Source organism: Homo sapiens, chromosome 16 (assembly GCF_000001405.40).
Source record: "Homo sapiens chromosome 16, GRCh38.p14 Primary Assembly".
In the NCBI taxonomy this organism is placed as follows: domain Eukaryota; kingdom Metazoa; phylum Chordata; class Mammalia; order Primates; family Hominidae; genus Homo; species Homo sapiens.
The window spans coordinates 28,523,949-28,539,500 of NC_000016.10; the positions used below are offsets into that span (position 1 = coordinate 28,523,949).

Consider the following 15,552-nt stretch of genomic DNA (forward strand, 5'->3'; position numbering starts at 1 on the left):
TGAGGTTGAACCTATGTCCATTGAGGGAGGTAGCTAACAGAACTGGGAGGACACTCAGAGTACATGTGCCTTTTTTAAAATGTCTGATTTGGCTTTCTGCCAGGAGAAATTTGGCCAGGTTTTGGAGGATCCAGGGAAGTTTATAGAGGCGTTTGCTAAGCCGACCATGTCCTTTGACTTAACTTGGCATGACTTGCAAATATTGTTTGCAAGTAGGTCACTCCTGACCTCAAGTGATCTGCCAGGCTCGGTCTCCCAAAGTGCTGGGATTACAGGCATGACCCACCATGCCTGACCTGGGACTTGTTTAATAGAAGGTATGAGGCTGGGCACAGTGGCTCATGCCTGTAATCCCAGCACTTTGGGAGGCTGAGGCAGGAGGATCGCTTGAGGCCAGGAGTGTGAGACCGGCCTGGGTAATATAGGGAGAACTTATCTCTGCAAAATAAAAAATAAGAAATCCAGCTGGGCATGGTGGCTCACGCCTGTAATCCCAGCACTTTGGAAGGCTGAGGCAGGTGGATCACCTGAGGTCAGGAGTTCGAGACCAGCCTGGCCAACATAGTGAAACCCCATCTCTACTAAAAATACAAAAATTAGCTGGGTGTGGTAGTGCACGCCTGTAATCCCAGCTACTTGGGAAGCTGAGGCAGGAGACTCCCTTGAACCCAGGAAGCAGAGGTTGCAGTGAGCCAAGATCGTGCCACTGCAGTCCAGCCTGAGTAACAGAGTAAGACTCCGTCTCAAAAAAAAAAAAAAACAGGATGTTGCAAAGAAGCCAGCTCAAACCAGCTAGGACTAGGAATCATAATACATTTGCATAAGACACTTCCACCAGCACCATGACAATTTACAAGTCCCATGGCAATAAACCCAAAAGGTACCTTATATGGTTCCAGGAAAACCCTGCCCCCTTTCCAGAAAGTTTGTGAATAGCCCGCCTCTTAATTAGCATGTGATTAGAAGGACGTATCAGTAGAGCCTCAGTAGAGCCAGCAAGCGATCAGGGAGTGCCCTCTGCCTGTGGGACAGCCCTGCTCTGTCTGTGGAACAGCCATCTTGTTGTACACTGTTGCACAAATAAACCTGCTTGCTTTCACTGTCCGCTCACTCTTGAATTCTTTCCTCCGTGAAGCCCAGAACCCTCCTGAGCTGAGCCCTGATTTTGGGGTTCTCTTGCATCCTCACTGATGGCTGATCCTCCAGGAGGCCTTTCCTGGTCATCTGACAAAGATTCCCTCCTTGGCCAAGCTAGCCAGACACCAACATAGTTTTTTTTGTATTTTTATTTTGGGGCCAGGTTATGATGTAGCAGGACAAGCCACAGACAAAACTCATCAGACACCGGATTAAAGAAGGAAGAGGTTTATTCGGCTGGGAGCGTCAGCAGACTTGCGTCTTAAGAGCCGAGCTCCCTGAAAAAGAAATTCTTGGCCTTTTTAAAGGCTTACAACTCTAAGGGGTCCACGTGAAAAGGTCGTGATAAATCGAGTAAGCGGGGAACGTGACTGGGGGCTACATGTATCAGCTAACAGAACAGAAAGCTTTGCAATGCTTTTTCATACAATGTCTGGAATTTACAGATAGCACAAGTAGTTTAGGTCAGGGGTTGATGTTATTGTTATTACTTTTTTAACTCCTAGGGCCGGGTGGTGGTGCCAAGTTTGTCTGGCTATTTATCTTACTTTTGTTTCTTTTTAACTTTTTGCTTTTTTTCTTTCCTCCTGTCTTGTAAACTAGGCAAGGTGGGGGGAGAAGGACAGCAGGAGTAGTAGTGGTCTCCTTCCTTATTCCCCCTTATTAAAAAAGTAATAATAATAACATCAACCCCTGACCTAAACTACTTGTGCTATCCGTAAATTCCAGACATTGTATGAAAAAGCATTGCAAAGCTTTCTGTTCTGTTAGCTGATACATGTAGCCCCCAGTCACGTTCCCCGCTTGCTCGATTTATCACGACCTTTTCACGTGGACCCCTTAGAGTTGTAAGCCTTTAAAAAGGCCAAGAATTTCTTTTTCAGGGAGCTCGGCTCTTAAGACGCAAGTCTGCCGACACTCCTGGCTGAATAAACCTCTTCCTTCTTTAATCCAGTGTCTGAGGAGTTTTGTCTGTGGCTCGTCCTGCTACAATGAGACTGGCTAATTTTTGCATTTTTTGTAGAGACGGGGTTTCACCATGTTGCCAGCCTGGTCTCGAACTCCTGGGCTCAAGCAATCTGCCCATCTTGGCCTCCCTAAGTTCTGGGATTACAGGCATGAGCCACTGTGCCCTGCCAAACACCGACATAGTTTCTAATAGCTCAAGGTCTCATCCCTGGAATGACCCTCTAAAAGTGCCTGCCTGAGAAAACTCAAGCCTGCCAAAAGAACTTACTGTTTGTTCCAGCCAACACCTGAGGATAGGGCCCCATCTCCCAGCTCCTGTGGGAGAGTAAGAGCTCAACATCGCTGTTGATAAGCACCAGTTAGCAAGCCCAGATGGGTTTCACCTGGGCCAACCCCTCCCCTCTTCATGTGTTTTGTAATTTTTCACTGCCTTGACTTTACTGAACCCCTGCTCCTCACCCCCACTCCCATTCCCTCATTCTCTGTACAAATAGGAGTTCAGTTCACACTGGACTCTGTTCCCTATTGCAACAGTATATTACAGATTAAGATCTGTCCTTGTGACTTTAACTGCTGTCTGGCTTTGTTTCCCTCTTTCGCCCTCTTTTTTGGTTTTTGGTGTTTTTCTTTTAGAGATAGGGTCTCGCTTCTATCTCTAAATCTCTGGGTCCAGTCGCCCAGGCTGGAGTGCAGTGGTGCAGTCATAGCTCACTTCAGCCTCAATCTCCTGGGCTCAAGCGATCCTCCCACCTTAGCCTCCCGAGTAGCTGAGACTACAGGTGCGTGACACCATACGTGGATAATTTTCTTTTTTTTTTTTTTTTTTGTAGAGGCGGAGTTTCACCATATTATCCAGGCTGGTCTCAAACTCCTGGCCTCAAGCAATCCTCCCACCACAGGCTCCCAAAGTGCTGGGACTACAAGTGTGAGCCACCACGCCTGGCTCTGCTTATTTTCTTCAAAGTGTTATTAGTCCATAAATATTTATTAAGCACCTACTATGTTCAGGCACTGAGGAGACAATGGTGAAAAAATCAGCCAATAAATAAATAAGTAAAATACATAGCATGCCAGATGGTAATAACCTGCTCTTAAGGAAACAAACAGGAATTTCAGCATGACTGAAACTTCCTTCTGGCCTTTGCTTAAATGCCTCCTCAGTGAAGCATTGCTGAAATTCTTATTTGTTTGTTCACTTATAATTGTTTTTCTGCCCCCACTGGAAGGTAAATTCCATGAGGAAAGGACAGTATGTCTAGTTACCATGGTGTCTGCAGTTTTAGACTATTCCCTGGCATATGGTAGGTACTCAGAAAGTATTTGTCGAGGGAATAAATGATATTTCCCCAAACAGTTAAAGAAATGAACCTTTCTGGCCAGGCGCGGTGGCTCATGCCTGTAATCCCACTTTGGGAGGCTGAGGCAGGCAGATCACCTGAGGTCAGGGGTTCGAGACCAGCCTGGCCAACATGGTAAAACCCCGTCTCTACTAAAAATACAAAATTTAGCTGGGTATGGTGGCACACACCTGTAATCCCAGATACTCAGGAGGCTGAGGCAGGAGAATTGCTTGAACCTGGGAGACAGGGGTTGCAGTGAGCTGAGATCACGCCACTGCACTCCATCCTGGGCAACAGAGCAAGACTCCATCTAAAAAAAAAAAAGAAATGAAACTTTCCGAACTAGTTTCCAGAAAAGAGAACAGGATACAAAGCTGATATGAGAATTCCATGAAGTACTGATTCCATGAAGTGCTGACAAAGAAACATTAATTTTATAATTTAAATGTTTTTGCAGGGCAGTCATGGTGGCTCACACCTGTAATCCCAGCACTTTGGAAGGCCAGGGCAGGAGGATCACTTGAGCCCAGGAGTTCAAGACCAGCCTTGGCAACATAGTGAGACCCACCCCCTACCCATCTCTACACACACACACACACACACACACACACACACTATATATATATATACACACACACACATATACGCACACATATATATACGTATATATGTGTGTGTGTGTGTGTATATACAAAAATTAGGGTGTGGTGACGTGTGCCTGTAGTCCCAGCTACTCAGGAGGCTGAGGTGGGAGGATCACTTGAGACCCTGGAGGTCAAAGCTTCAGTGAGCCGAGATTACACCACTGCACTCCAGCCTGGGCAGCAGAGCAAGAGCCTGTCTCTAGAATAAAACATAAAATAAAAGTAAGTGTTTTGCAAAAGTTGGAGTTCAGTCATGGGAACAAAGGACAGACAGACCAGAGGATGGGGATTATCTTGCGATTCCACAGCAATAACTTCTTTTGTAATCAGAAAAGAAAAGAGAACTTTTGTTTTACAAAAAGAATAAAATGTTTCTCTAATAGTTGACAGAGCCCTGGATGCTGATTCCAGCCACCAAGGAGAGATCGCCTCTGTCAAGGCCGCTGATAGCAGGGCACTCAGGGACTGGGTGCTCTAATCTTGCTCCCCTGGGACTCCCTGAAGGCCACAGAACTCCCTAGAAATCAGGGGCATGGGTATCAGCACACTTAGTTTGCTCTTGGCTCAGCCTCCAACCAGCAGTGAACCCGTGACCCAGGTGTTTTTCCCTAGTGCAGGCTTTGGTAAATATCCAGTGTGATAATAATGGCTGTGGCTAGATTTTTTTTTTTTTTAGGCAGTCTCACTCCCAGGCTGGAGTGCAGTGGCTCAGTGGAGTGCAGTGGAGTGTTCTCGGCTCAGTGCAACCTTTGCCTCCTGGGTTCAAGCAATTCTTGTGCATCAGCCTCCCTAGTAGCTGTGATTATAGGCACGAGCCACCAAGCCTGGCTAATTTTTGTATTTTTAGTAGAGACGGGGTTTCGCTATGTTGACGAAGCTGGTCTTGAACTCCTGACCTCAGGTGATCTGCCCGCCTTGGCCTCCCGAAGTGCTGGGATTACAGGCGTGAGCCACCATCCTGGATAATATTTTTATATACAAACCAAGGTGGAGTTTCTCCTATTCACCTTTCACCGTGTCAAAAGACAAAATGACAACAATTTTGGATATAGATCTAATTGGCTTTTATTTGCAATTCATGAATTGGTACAGCTTTCATTCTACAAAACAGAATCAAGATCTCTCACTGGCCAAGGAAACAGAACAATAGGAAAAAAGCTGATTGGTTAACATGAGGTTCCTTCAGGTGACTTTTTTGTGAGAGTTAAAGCAAAGGGGACCAATATTACACTGACTCAGGTTGACTGGAATCTCCTGTTTTCAGGAAAAACTGGTCTGTTTGGGATCTATCTCCTTCCTTAAAGTTTCAGTTTGATTATGTGACATTTAGCATGAGTAACTACATTTTGGTTTGGTCTTATCTGTTGGGGCCTAAAGTGCAGCAGCTCAACCCAAAACAATGATCTCCCATAATTTTTTTTCTTCTTCTTCTTCTTTTTTTTTTTTTTTGAGACAGAGTCTCAGCTCTGTCACCCAACTGGAGTGCAGTGGTGCGATCTCGGCTCACTGCAACCTCTGTCTCCTGGGTTCAAGCCATTCTTCTGCCTCAGCCTTCCAAGTAGCTGGGATTACAGGCTCGTGCCACCACACTCAACTAATTTTTGTTTTGTTTTGTATTTTTAGTAGAGACGGGGTTTAACCATGTTGGCCAGGCTGGTCTCGAACTCCTGACCTCAGGTGATCTACCCACCTCGGCCTCCCAAAGTGCTGGGATTACAGGTGTGAGCCACCACGCCCTACCCTTCTTCTTCTTTTTTTTTGAGACGGAGTCTTGCTCTGTCACCAGGCTAGAGTGCAGTGGCGCTATCTCAGCTCACTGCAACCTCCGCCTCCCAGGTTCAAGCGATTCTCCTGCCTCAGCCTTCCAAGTAGCTGAGACTACAGGCTGCAGGCAAGTGCCACAATGCCCACCTAATTCTTGTATTTTTAGTAGAGAAGGGAATTCACCATGTTATCCAGGCTGGTCTTGAACCCCTGACCTCAGGTGATCCACCCACCTCGACCTCCCAAAGTGCTGGGATTACAGGTGTGAGCTGCCGTGCCTGGCCTTTTTTTTTTTTTTTTTTGAGATGCAGTTTCCCTCTAGTCGCCCAGGCTGGAGTCAGCTCACTGCAACCTCTGCCTCCTGGGTTCAAGAGATTCTCCTGCCTCAGCCTCCCAAGTAGCTGGGATTACAGGCATGCACCACCACGCCCAGCTAATTTTGTATTTTTAGTAGGGACAAGGGTTCTCCATGTTGGTCAGGCTGGTCTCAAACTCCCGAACTCAGGTGATCCGCCTGCCTCAGCCTCCCAAAGTGCTGAGATTACAGGCATGAGCCACCGCGCCTGGCTGGATGAACTTTAAAAAAAGTTTTAGTTAAGTGTTCCTTTTTTTTTTTTTTTTTGAGACAGGGTCTTGCTCTGTTGTTCAGGCTAGAGTGCAGTGGTGCAATCACAGCTCACTGCAGCCTCAAACTCCTGGGCTCAAACGATCCTCCCACCTAAGCCTCCTGAGTAGCTAGGACTACAGGCACACACCACCACACTGGCTAACTTCGGTATTTCTTTTTACAGTTAATTTCTTTTCCTTTCCTTTTTTTTTTTTTTTTTTTTTTGAGATGGAGTTCCGCTCTTGTCACCCAGGCTGGAGTGCAATGGTTCGATCTTGGCTCACTGCAACCTCTGCCTCCCAGGTTCAGGAAATTCTCCTGCCTCAGCCTCCTGAGTAGCTGGGATTACAGGGGTGTGCCATCACACCCAGCTAATTTTTGTATTTTTAGTAGAGATGGGGTTTCACCATGCTGGTCTCAAACTCCTGACCTCAAGTAATCTACCCACCTCAGCTTCCAAATGTGCTGGGATTACAGGCATGAGCCACCATGCTCAGCCTTTACAGTTAATTTATTTTATTTATTTATTTATTTTTGAGATAGAGTCTTGCTCTGTTGCCCAGGCTGGAGTGCAGTAGCACGATCTCCGCTCACTGCAACCTCTGCCTCCCAGGTTCAAGCGATTCTTCTGTCTCAGCCTCCCTAGTACCTGGGATTACAGCTGCCTGCCACCATGTCCAGCTAAATTTTTTTGTGTTTTTGATAGTGATGGTGTTTCACCATATTGGTCAGGCTGGTGTGAAACTCCTGACCTCAGATAATCCACCCTCCTCAGCCTCCCAAAGTGCTGGGATTACAGGCGTGAACTGCTGTGTCTGGCCTACAATTAATTTCTAATTATGACATATGACCATGGTTTTCCATTGTTGGTGGTTATATGCTGTAGCTTCCTTTTTAAGTATATTTGAGTGAAAAGGATAAGGAGGTAGTTTTTTTTTCTTTTTTTGAGACAGAGTCTTGCTCTGTTGCCCAGGCTGGAGTGCAACGGAACGATCTTGGCTCACTGCAACCTCTGCCTCCCGAGTTTAAGCAATTCTCCTGCCTCAGCCTCCTGAGTAGCTGGGATTACAGGTACCCACCACTGCGCCTGGCTGATTTTTGTATTTTTAGTAGAGATGGGGTTTCCCCACGTTGGCCAGGCTGGTTTCGAACTCCTGATCTCAGGTGATCTGCCCGCCTTGGCCTCCCAAAGTGCTGGGATTACAGGCGTGAGCCACTGTGACTGGCAGGAGGTAGTTTTTAAATGCTAAGTAAATATAGCATAATATATATAGTATAGTTTGAATGTATAGACAGCAGAAATCAATCACAAAAGTGCTATGGGAAAGATGAAGTTGGGAAAACCCTAAGGTAGATTATCAATAGTGGTAGCTGGAACTATTACTGTCATTAGCATTAACTTTAGGGGATTTTAGTTAAAAAATCAATTTTGGGGCTGGGCACGGTGGCTCATGCCTGTAATCCCACCACTTTTGGAAGGCCGAGGCAGGAGGATCACTTGAGGACAGGAGTTTGAAACCAGCCTTGGCATCATAGCAGCGAGACTTCATCTCTACGAAAAATTTAAAAATTAGCCCAGGAGGTCAAGGCTGCAGTGATTGCACCACTCCACCCCAGCCTGGGTGATAGACTGAAACCCTGTCTCAAAAAGGAGAAAACTGAGGGTGATTCTGAAATTTAAAAATGTACTCCTGTATCTGTGAGCTGGCCTTTGAGAAAGGGGAAGGTGGAAGAGAATCAGGTTGCTTGCAGAACAGACAGACAACCCCATGGTGAGTTTCTCAGTTCTCTGCAAGGAGTCGGGAGTCCTTTGAGTTACAGAAGCCTGACAGGGCCAATTCTGTAAGCCCCTGGGGTAGGACAGAGGTCAGTGATTTCTCTAGTTCTCAGGGGGATCCCCCCAAAATGGGGAAACAGACATGCAACCAGAAGAAAAAGAAAGGGTTTAGGAAAGGGGATGGAGACAGAAGAGGAAGAGTCTGGGTAGGATCCTTTCGGATCCAAAAATTCTGCAATTCCAAGAATTGCCTTAATTCCCAGAACAGCCACTTAAAGGCCTCTCAGGCAGAGGCTGTGCCAGGCGAGGGCGAGGCCAGGAAAGGCCAATCAGAGGCCAGGAGGGAGGGGCAGTGTGTGAGGACTCCTGGCTGGTGTCAAAGGACCCAGGACAGGGAGTGGCCATTCCAGCTAGGGACACAGTGCTTCCCAGCCTTCATTTTCTCTTTTGACAGAAGAGAGGCCAGTCTCACCATTTGACAGGTGAGGAAACCCAGGCCCAGAGGAGTAATTGACCAGAAATTAACGAGAGTTTAGGATTCTTCATTGTCAATACATGGTTCTTCCCAGGCATGTAGCAAAGGGGGAAAAATCCAGGCTTTAAAATTCAGATAGACCTGAGTTCATAATTCCAAGTCCTACAGGATGTGGCTGTGTGACTTTAGGCAAATTACTTAATGTCTCCGAACCTCAGTTTTCCGGTCTGAAAAAAAGGGGATCATTAATAGTATGTCCTATTGGGTTATCGTAAGGATTAAATGGAGCAAAGCCTATAAAACACTTCTCACAGAATAGGAGCTCCAAACACAGCAGAGATGTTTCCAGGATTTTCTGAAGCCAACACACCAGGTCTGTGCTGGGCTGAGGGCCGACTGCCTGGTGTTGCTCCTGCCATTTGCTCCCTGGGTTCTAGAGCTGATGGTGGCCCTATTCCTGGTTCCAGTCATATCAGGATTCTATTTGTCCCTCTCAGCAGCACAGGCCTCCAGCAGCATCCTGGTAACTCAGAAGGCATCCAATAAGCATTGATTGAGTTAATATGTAACTTGTATGGAAAGAGGAGTTGGAGGCAAAATCTGAAGGATTTCCAAGGTAGACTGTAAGATTCTGGGCCCAGGCTTCCGTGTGATCCCAGAGGAGGGTCGGCCTGGGGTGGAGGTCAGGAGATGGGTGGAGGATTGCAAGTTAAGGAAAACTTTGGTTTTTGTTTTTTTGAGACAGGTCTCACTCTGACGCCCAGGCTGGAGTGAGATCATGGCTCACTGCAGCCTCCACCTCCCAGACTCAAGAGATCCTCTCACCTCAGCCTCCTGAGTAGGTGGGCCCACAGGCACAAGCCACCACACCTGGCTAATTTTTAATTTTTTGTAGAGAGAGGGTCTTGCTGTGTTGCTAGGCTGGCCTAGAACTCCTGGGCCCAAGCAATCCTCCCACCTCGGCCTCCCAAAGTGCTGGGATTGCAGGTATGAGCTTCTGCACGCAGCCATCAGGGAGGAAGAGAAGGAAACATCTAAGCTGAGCCTCATGAGATGGGGTCGGGGGAGGAATTAAAGTCATCTCAGACAGAAAGGACCAGAAAAACAGAAGCTTATTTAAGGGCAGGTATGAGAGACAGATTTCAGCCCACATGAACAGACTTGCCCTGAGATAGAATTAGGCAACCTTTGCCGGGTGGTGTGGCTCAAGCCTGTAATCCCAACACTTTGGGAGGCCAAGGCAGGCAGATCACCTGAGGTCGGGAGTTTGAGACCAGCCTGGGCAACATGGTGAAACCCCGTCTCTACTAAAAATACAAAAATTAGCCAGGTGTGGTGGCCCACACCTGTAGTCCCAGCTACTAGGGAGGCTGAGGCATGAAAATCGCTTGAACCCAGGAAGCGGAGGTTGCAGTGGGTCGAGATCACACCACTGCACTCCAGCCTGGGCGACAGAGAGAGACTCCATCTCCCAAAACAAAACAAAAAAATTCAGCAACCTTTAAATGTAGCAAGTTCCCCCTCCATAGTGGTATTCAAACAAGCAGAGGCAATCCCACTGTTGCGTGGGGAGAGTTGGGCCAGAGGTCCTTAAATGTCCTTCCGGGTCATGGATTCATTCTGTGGCTGTGATTAGGCTGGACTCAAGGGAAGGGGATGGATACAGGTCCCCAAGGGTTCAAGCTGGTCGTAGTCTGACGTGCATCTGTTCCTGCTCTATCAGGTACTTCGGTCTTCTGTGGATGTCCTTGGGTCCCCATGAACCACTGACTCCAAGTTCTGCAGTGTGGGGCTTATGTGAAAGGGACAGGGGAAAAGGAAACAGGCTCTGCCCGGGGCCCAATCTCAGAGTTTTCTCCCCCGACATCTGTTGAGTCTGCATGTGGGCAATGTTTCTTGCTAGCTTCTTCGTGTATTCACTCTCTCTGGTTCCCTTTCATCATAAAACCCTGCTGTTGCCCAAGTTTTGGCTACCACGTGGCTAAGCAGCTCAATGCTACATTTCCCAACCTCTCTCGTAGTTGGGTGTGGCCATGTAGCCACATTCGGAGCAGATGTGATGTGTTCTACTTTTAGATTATGCCCTAAAATTGAAGAGGTGTGGCCTCCTCTGTCTCTTCCACACTCTTTCCACAGGCTGAGATGCAAACGTGATGGCAGGTATTGGAGTAGCTATTTTGGGCCTCAAAGTGGAAGCCATGTTTTGGGTGTGGCAGAACAGTGAGTAAAAATAGCTGGAATCCTCAACACAATGGAGCTGCCATTTGAACCCAGGAGGACTTGGGGCTAAGTAAGAGAGGAGTAACTTTGTATCCTGTTTTGATTCTTCATAATAGCAACCCAAACCTGTATCTCAATCAACAAATAATCTCAGCTCCAACCACACTTCCTGTTTGCCCCATATTTTTCTTCAACTCTGGTCCTGAGACATAGCACTGAATAAGAATCTCCCTCCCCCATCTCACTTCCCAGAACCCTGTCCCACAGCCCCCTTGGCCTGGGGACCCACCTCATATCTGAAGACAATAAGATCCCTGAATATGAGCCCTGAGTGAGCTAGGGCAAATCCCTTAATATTTCCTTCCCTCCTTTCCTCCTTCCCTCCTTCCCTCCCTCCTTTCCTTCCTCTTTCTTTCCCTCCTTCTCTCTTTCTTTCTCTCTCTTTTTCTTTTTTTGAGATGGAGTTTTGCTCTTGTTGCCCAGGCTGGAGTGCAATGGCGTGATCTTGGCTCACCACAACTTCTGCCTCGAACTCGAACTACTGACCTCAGGTGATCCGCCTGCCTTGGCCTCCCAAAGTGCTGGGATTACAGGTGTGAGCCACTGTGCCGGGGCTCGCTCTTTTCTTTCTTTCTTTCTTTCTTTCTTTCTTTCTTTCTTTCCTTCTTTCTTTCTTTCTTTCCTTCCTTCCTTTCTTTCTTTCTTTCTTTCTTTCTTTCTTTCTTTCTTTCTTTCTTTCTTCTCTTTCTCTCTCTTTCTTCTTTTTCTCTCCTTTCTCTCTTTCTTTTCTTTCTTCCTTCCTTTCTTTTCCTTCCTTCCTTCTTTTTCTCTTTCTTTCTTTCTTTCTTTTTCAATACATGGTTTCACTCTATTGCTCAGGCTGCAGTGCAGTGGCACCATCATGGCTTACTGTAGCCTCCAACTGGGTTCAAGGGATCCTCCAACTTCAGCCTCTGAGCAACTAGGACTACAGGCATGAGCCACCATGCTTTGCTAATTTTTAAATTTTTGTAGAGACAGGGCCTTGGTATGTTGCCTAGGCTGGTCTCGAACTCCTGGCCTCAAGCGATCCTCCCTCCTTGGCCTCCCAAAGGCTGGAAGGCTGAGGTGGGCAGATCATTTGAGGCCAGGAGTTTGAGACCAGCCTGGCCAACATGATGAAACCCCATCTCTACTAAAAATACAAAAATTGGCCAGGCGTGGTGGCTGACGCCTGTAATCCCAGCACTTTGGGAGGCCAAGGTGGGTGGATCATGAGGTCAAGAGATTGAGACCATCCTGGCCAACATGGTGAAACTCTGTTTCTACTAAAAATACAAAAATTAGCCAGGCATGGTGGCAGGTGCCTGTAGTCCCAGCTACTCAGGAGGCTGAAGCAGGAGAATAGCTTGAACCCAGGAGGCGGAGGTTGCAGTGAGCTGCGATCATGCCACTGCACTCCAGCCTGAGCAACAGAGTGAGACTCTGTATCAAAAAAACAAAAAAACAAAAATTAGCCAGGCGTGGTGGTGCTCACCTGTAATCCCAGCTACTCAGGGGGCGTAGGCACGAGAATTGCTTGAACCCGGGAGGCAGAGGTTGCAGTGAGCCAAGATGGTGCCACTGCACTCTAACCTGAGCAACAGAGTGAGACTCTGTCTCAAAAAAAAAATTGTAGAGATGGGGTCTTACTATGATGCTCAGGCTGGTCTCAAACTCCTAGGCTCAAGTAATCCTCCCACTTCGGCCTCCTAAACTGCTGTGATTACAGGCATGAGCCACTGCTCCCAGACTTTAGTTTTTGTTTGTTTGTTTGTTTTGAGACAGAGTCTCCCTCTGTCACCCAGGCTGGAGTGCAATGGCACGATGTCGGCTCACTGCAACCTCTACCTCCTGGGTTCAAGCGATTCTACTGCCTCAGCCTCCTGAGCAGCTGGGATTACAGGCACCTGCCACCATGCTTGGCTAATTTTTGGTATTTTTAGTGGAGATGGGGTTTCACCATGTTGGTCAGGCTGGTCTTGAACTCCTGACTTTGTGATCCACCCACCTCGGCCTCCCAAAGTGCTGGGATTACAGGCGTGAGCCACTGCCCCCGGCCCTGGCTTTTAATATTTTAAATCTCAGTTTTCTCTGACTTTTAGATGGCACTCATAAGTAGCGTTCCCGTCTATGAACAGGACACAATCAACAAAAACAGGTGCTGGGGAGGGCCGTGTTTCATGGGCAGTATCGCAAAAAAGCAGAAGAAATTCCTTTCCACTACGTAGGAGCCCACAGAAATGTATGCACTAAAATATATGCAAGCAAAAGCAAACAAACCAAAAGCTGCATTCACAGCGTAGACCCTGCAAGAGCAGGAACACTCCCTGCCCCAGATACATACACCAAACACAAATACACATCAAAGATGCTCTCTCAGGCTCATGAATGTGCAGGCACAGGCAAGCACACACATGCCCGAACAAAAACACACAAAGAACAAGGATGAACACACACCCAAGCTGTGGCTGCCGTGCGTGTCTATTTATTGTTGCTGCCACCCTGGAGGAGCCCCAGTTTCTTCTGTAGCTTTCTTTTCTGGGGGATCTTCCTGGCTCTGCCCCTCCATTCCCAGCCTCTCACTCCCCATCTTGCACTTTTGCTAGGGTTGGAGGCGCTTTCCTGGTAGCCCCTCAGAGACTCAGTCAGCGGGAATAAGTCCTAGGGGTGGGGGGTGTGGCAAGCCGGCCTGGATCCTGTCCTGGGTCCTCCTTCCTCCGCAGTCCCGTCTCTATTGCTGGGTGTAGTGTCCATGGTCTGGCCTCATCTGGGGGGTGAGGAAAAGCAGGTGGTAAAAGGGACAGAGATCTGGGTTCTAATTCTGCCTCTCCCACTCACTTGATTTGTGACTCCAGGGAAGGACCCACCCTCTCTATCCTCAATTTCTGTCTCTGTAAGTCAAATTTCCCTTCAATTGGAAAGGTTCTGTGTTCCCACTTTGCTCTGGCCACTAGGAAACTCACAATCAAACATATGTCTCGTTTTATTCTGCATCAAGACAACAGTTGCCTGATCCCTCCTCCCCACCCAATCACACACCTTCCGGCCTGTCCTTCATGGCAGAAGCACCACCTTGAGCTCTCTGGGCCCCCCGACTCCTTACCTCCAGCTCTGTCTCAGCGCCGTGCCCCTCGCTTCTTCCTCTCTGAATTCTGCAGCTTGGTCACCAGTTTCCTCTCGTGCCCGCCAGGGCTGGGGCGGTTGGTGTTGGCAGCAGCTTCTCTCTTGGTGCGACCTTTCCGGCCTCCACCTCCTGTAACCAAGGCAGGAGTCAGAGGTGAAGTGGGCATAGGCATGATGAGAGGCCCTGTCAGAGGAGAGGCAGGGGTTCAGGGTTGTGGGGATGGGAAGAGCAGGGAGAAGCCTGCTGCTTCCCCTCTGTGGAATGTGGGACCCCAGATGTGTGTGAGGTCCCAGGCTGAGTAACATAGCACTCCTGGGATAAGGGATTAGACAGGGGTGACGTGAGGGTCCAAGGAACAGGTTGGCTAGAAAAGGGTGAGTGGGCTGGGCAGGGTGGCTCACTCCTGTAATCTCAGCACTTTGGGAGGCCAAGGCAGGAGAATTGCTTGAGCCCAGGAATTTGGGATCAGCCTGGGAAACATAGTGAGACCCCATCTCACCACTGCAGGTGGTGTACACCTGAAGTTCCAGCCACTCAGGAGGCTGAAGCAGGAGGATCACTTGAGCCCAGGAGTTCGAGGCTGCGGTGAGTTGTTTGAGTTGTTGTGATCACACTACTGCACTCCAGCCTGGGTGACAGAGTGACTCTCTCAAAAAAAAAGAAAGAAAGAAACGAAGAGGAAAGGAAAGGAAATGAGAGGAAACAAGAGGGGTGGGTCCTGATTTCGGGAGAGGAGGAAGGACCGTGGAGATGGCTGAGTGGGCCTTACCGAGGTAGGAATGGGCCAGGCTATAGAGGTCAGATTCATCCAGGCTGGAGTCCTCGTCCTCCGGGCCTGGGGGCTGCTGGGGGGCGCTGGTTGCTGGTGGGAAGGTGGCCATCGTGCCTGGCTTGTCTTCCCTGCCTCTCTTCTTCTCCTAACGCTTTGTCTGTCTCTGCTTTCCTGGCCCCGGGCCTCTCCACTCCCTCAGCTTATAAGGCTGTGTCTCCTCCTCAGACCACAGTCTGGCTCCAGCCCATCAGGCCCTGTCTGATGCAATCTGGCCCCTTCCCAAAATCCAGCCCAGTAAACACAGTCATGAGACGGGAAGAGTCGGTCCCTGAGTCCAGCCCAACTCACCTCCTCCCTCCCAGGCTCACCCAGCTGGATATTTTCCATAGAGGAGGTCCCGCTTCTCGGCAGAAAGCAGGGAAGAGGCAGGATCTGGGCTAAAACACTCGTTGGGATCATGGCCTCACCTGATCGAGGGCTTCACCTGGGCCTGGGATGACGGCCACACAGCTAACCCCGGCACCCCAATTCTCGCTGAGATGCAGGACGTGAGGAAGGAGGGGGAAGGGATATCAGCACACTTGTGCCAGGGACAAGTCAGTGGCTTCCACCCAGTCACACTCAACATCTTGCTTGTCTTCTTTTTTTTTTTTGAAATGGAGTCTCTGTCGCCCGGCTGGAGTGCAGTGGTGTGATCTTGGC

The 15,552-nt window shown here is 48.5% G+C and overlaps 1 protein-coding gene across 2 annotated transcripts, besides 1 other annotated feature; it reads right to left on the reverse strand.

Moving 5' to 3' along the window:
* Positions 1 to 8,759: 8,759 nt before the first annotated feature.
* Positions 8,760 to 15,026, reverse strand: NUPR1 (nuclear protein 1, transcriptional regulator). Of its 2 annotated transcripts, none has more exons than NM_012385.3 (3): positions 14,848 to 15,026; positions 14,058 to 14,207; positions 8,760 to 13,721 (listed from the first exon to the last, which is right to left on the reverse strand). In NM_012385.3, the coding sequence occupies exons 1-2, from the start codon at positions 14,957 to 14,959 to the stop codon at positions 14,071 to 14,073; spliced, it is 249 nt and encodes an 82-aa protein (NP_036517.1). In that variant the 5' UTR covers positions 14,960 to 15,026; the 3' UTR covers positions 8,760 to 13,721; positions 14,058 to 14,070. The 2 variants fall into 2 exon arrangements, with proteins under 2 accessions (NP_036517.1, NP_001035948.1); NM_001042483.2 differs by having other exon boundaries at positions 14,058 to 14,261.
* Positions 13,820 to 15,019: an enhancer, noted in NCBI's record as "MED14-independent group 3 enhancer chr16:28549089-28550288 (GRCh37/hg19 assembly coordinates)". NCBI's record gives its function as "activates an origin of replication core promoter dependent on BRD2, BRD4, P300/CBP and CDK7 cofactors, and independent of MED14, by STARR-seq in HCT116 cells {active_cell/tissue: HCT116}" and the evidence as "EXISTENCE:reporter gene assay evidence [ECO:0000049][PMID:35650434]".

Excerpts from the sequence above, each read along its gene's own strand:
- NUPR1 (NM_001042483.2), bottom strand. The coding sequence starts at position 14,959 with ATGGCCACCTTCCCACCAGCAACCAGCGCCCCCCAGCAGCCCCCAGGC. Across the intron at positions 14,262-14,847 it reads CCTGGCCCATTCCTACCTCG|GGCCTCTCATCATGCCTATG; the intron begins GTAAGGCCCACT and ends CTCCTCTGACAG.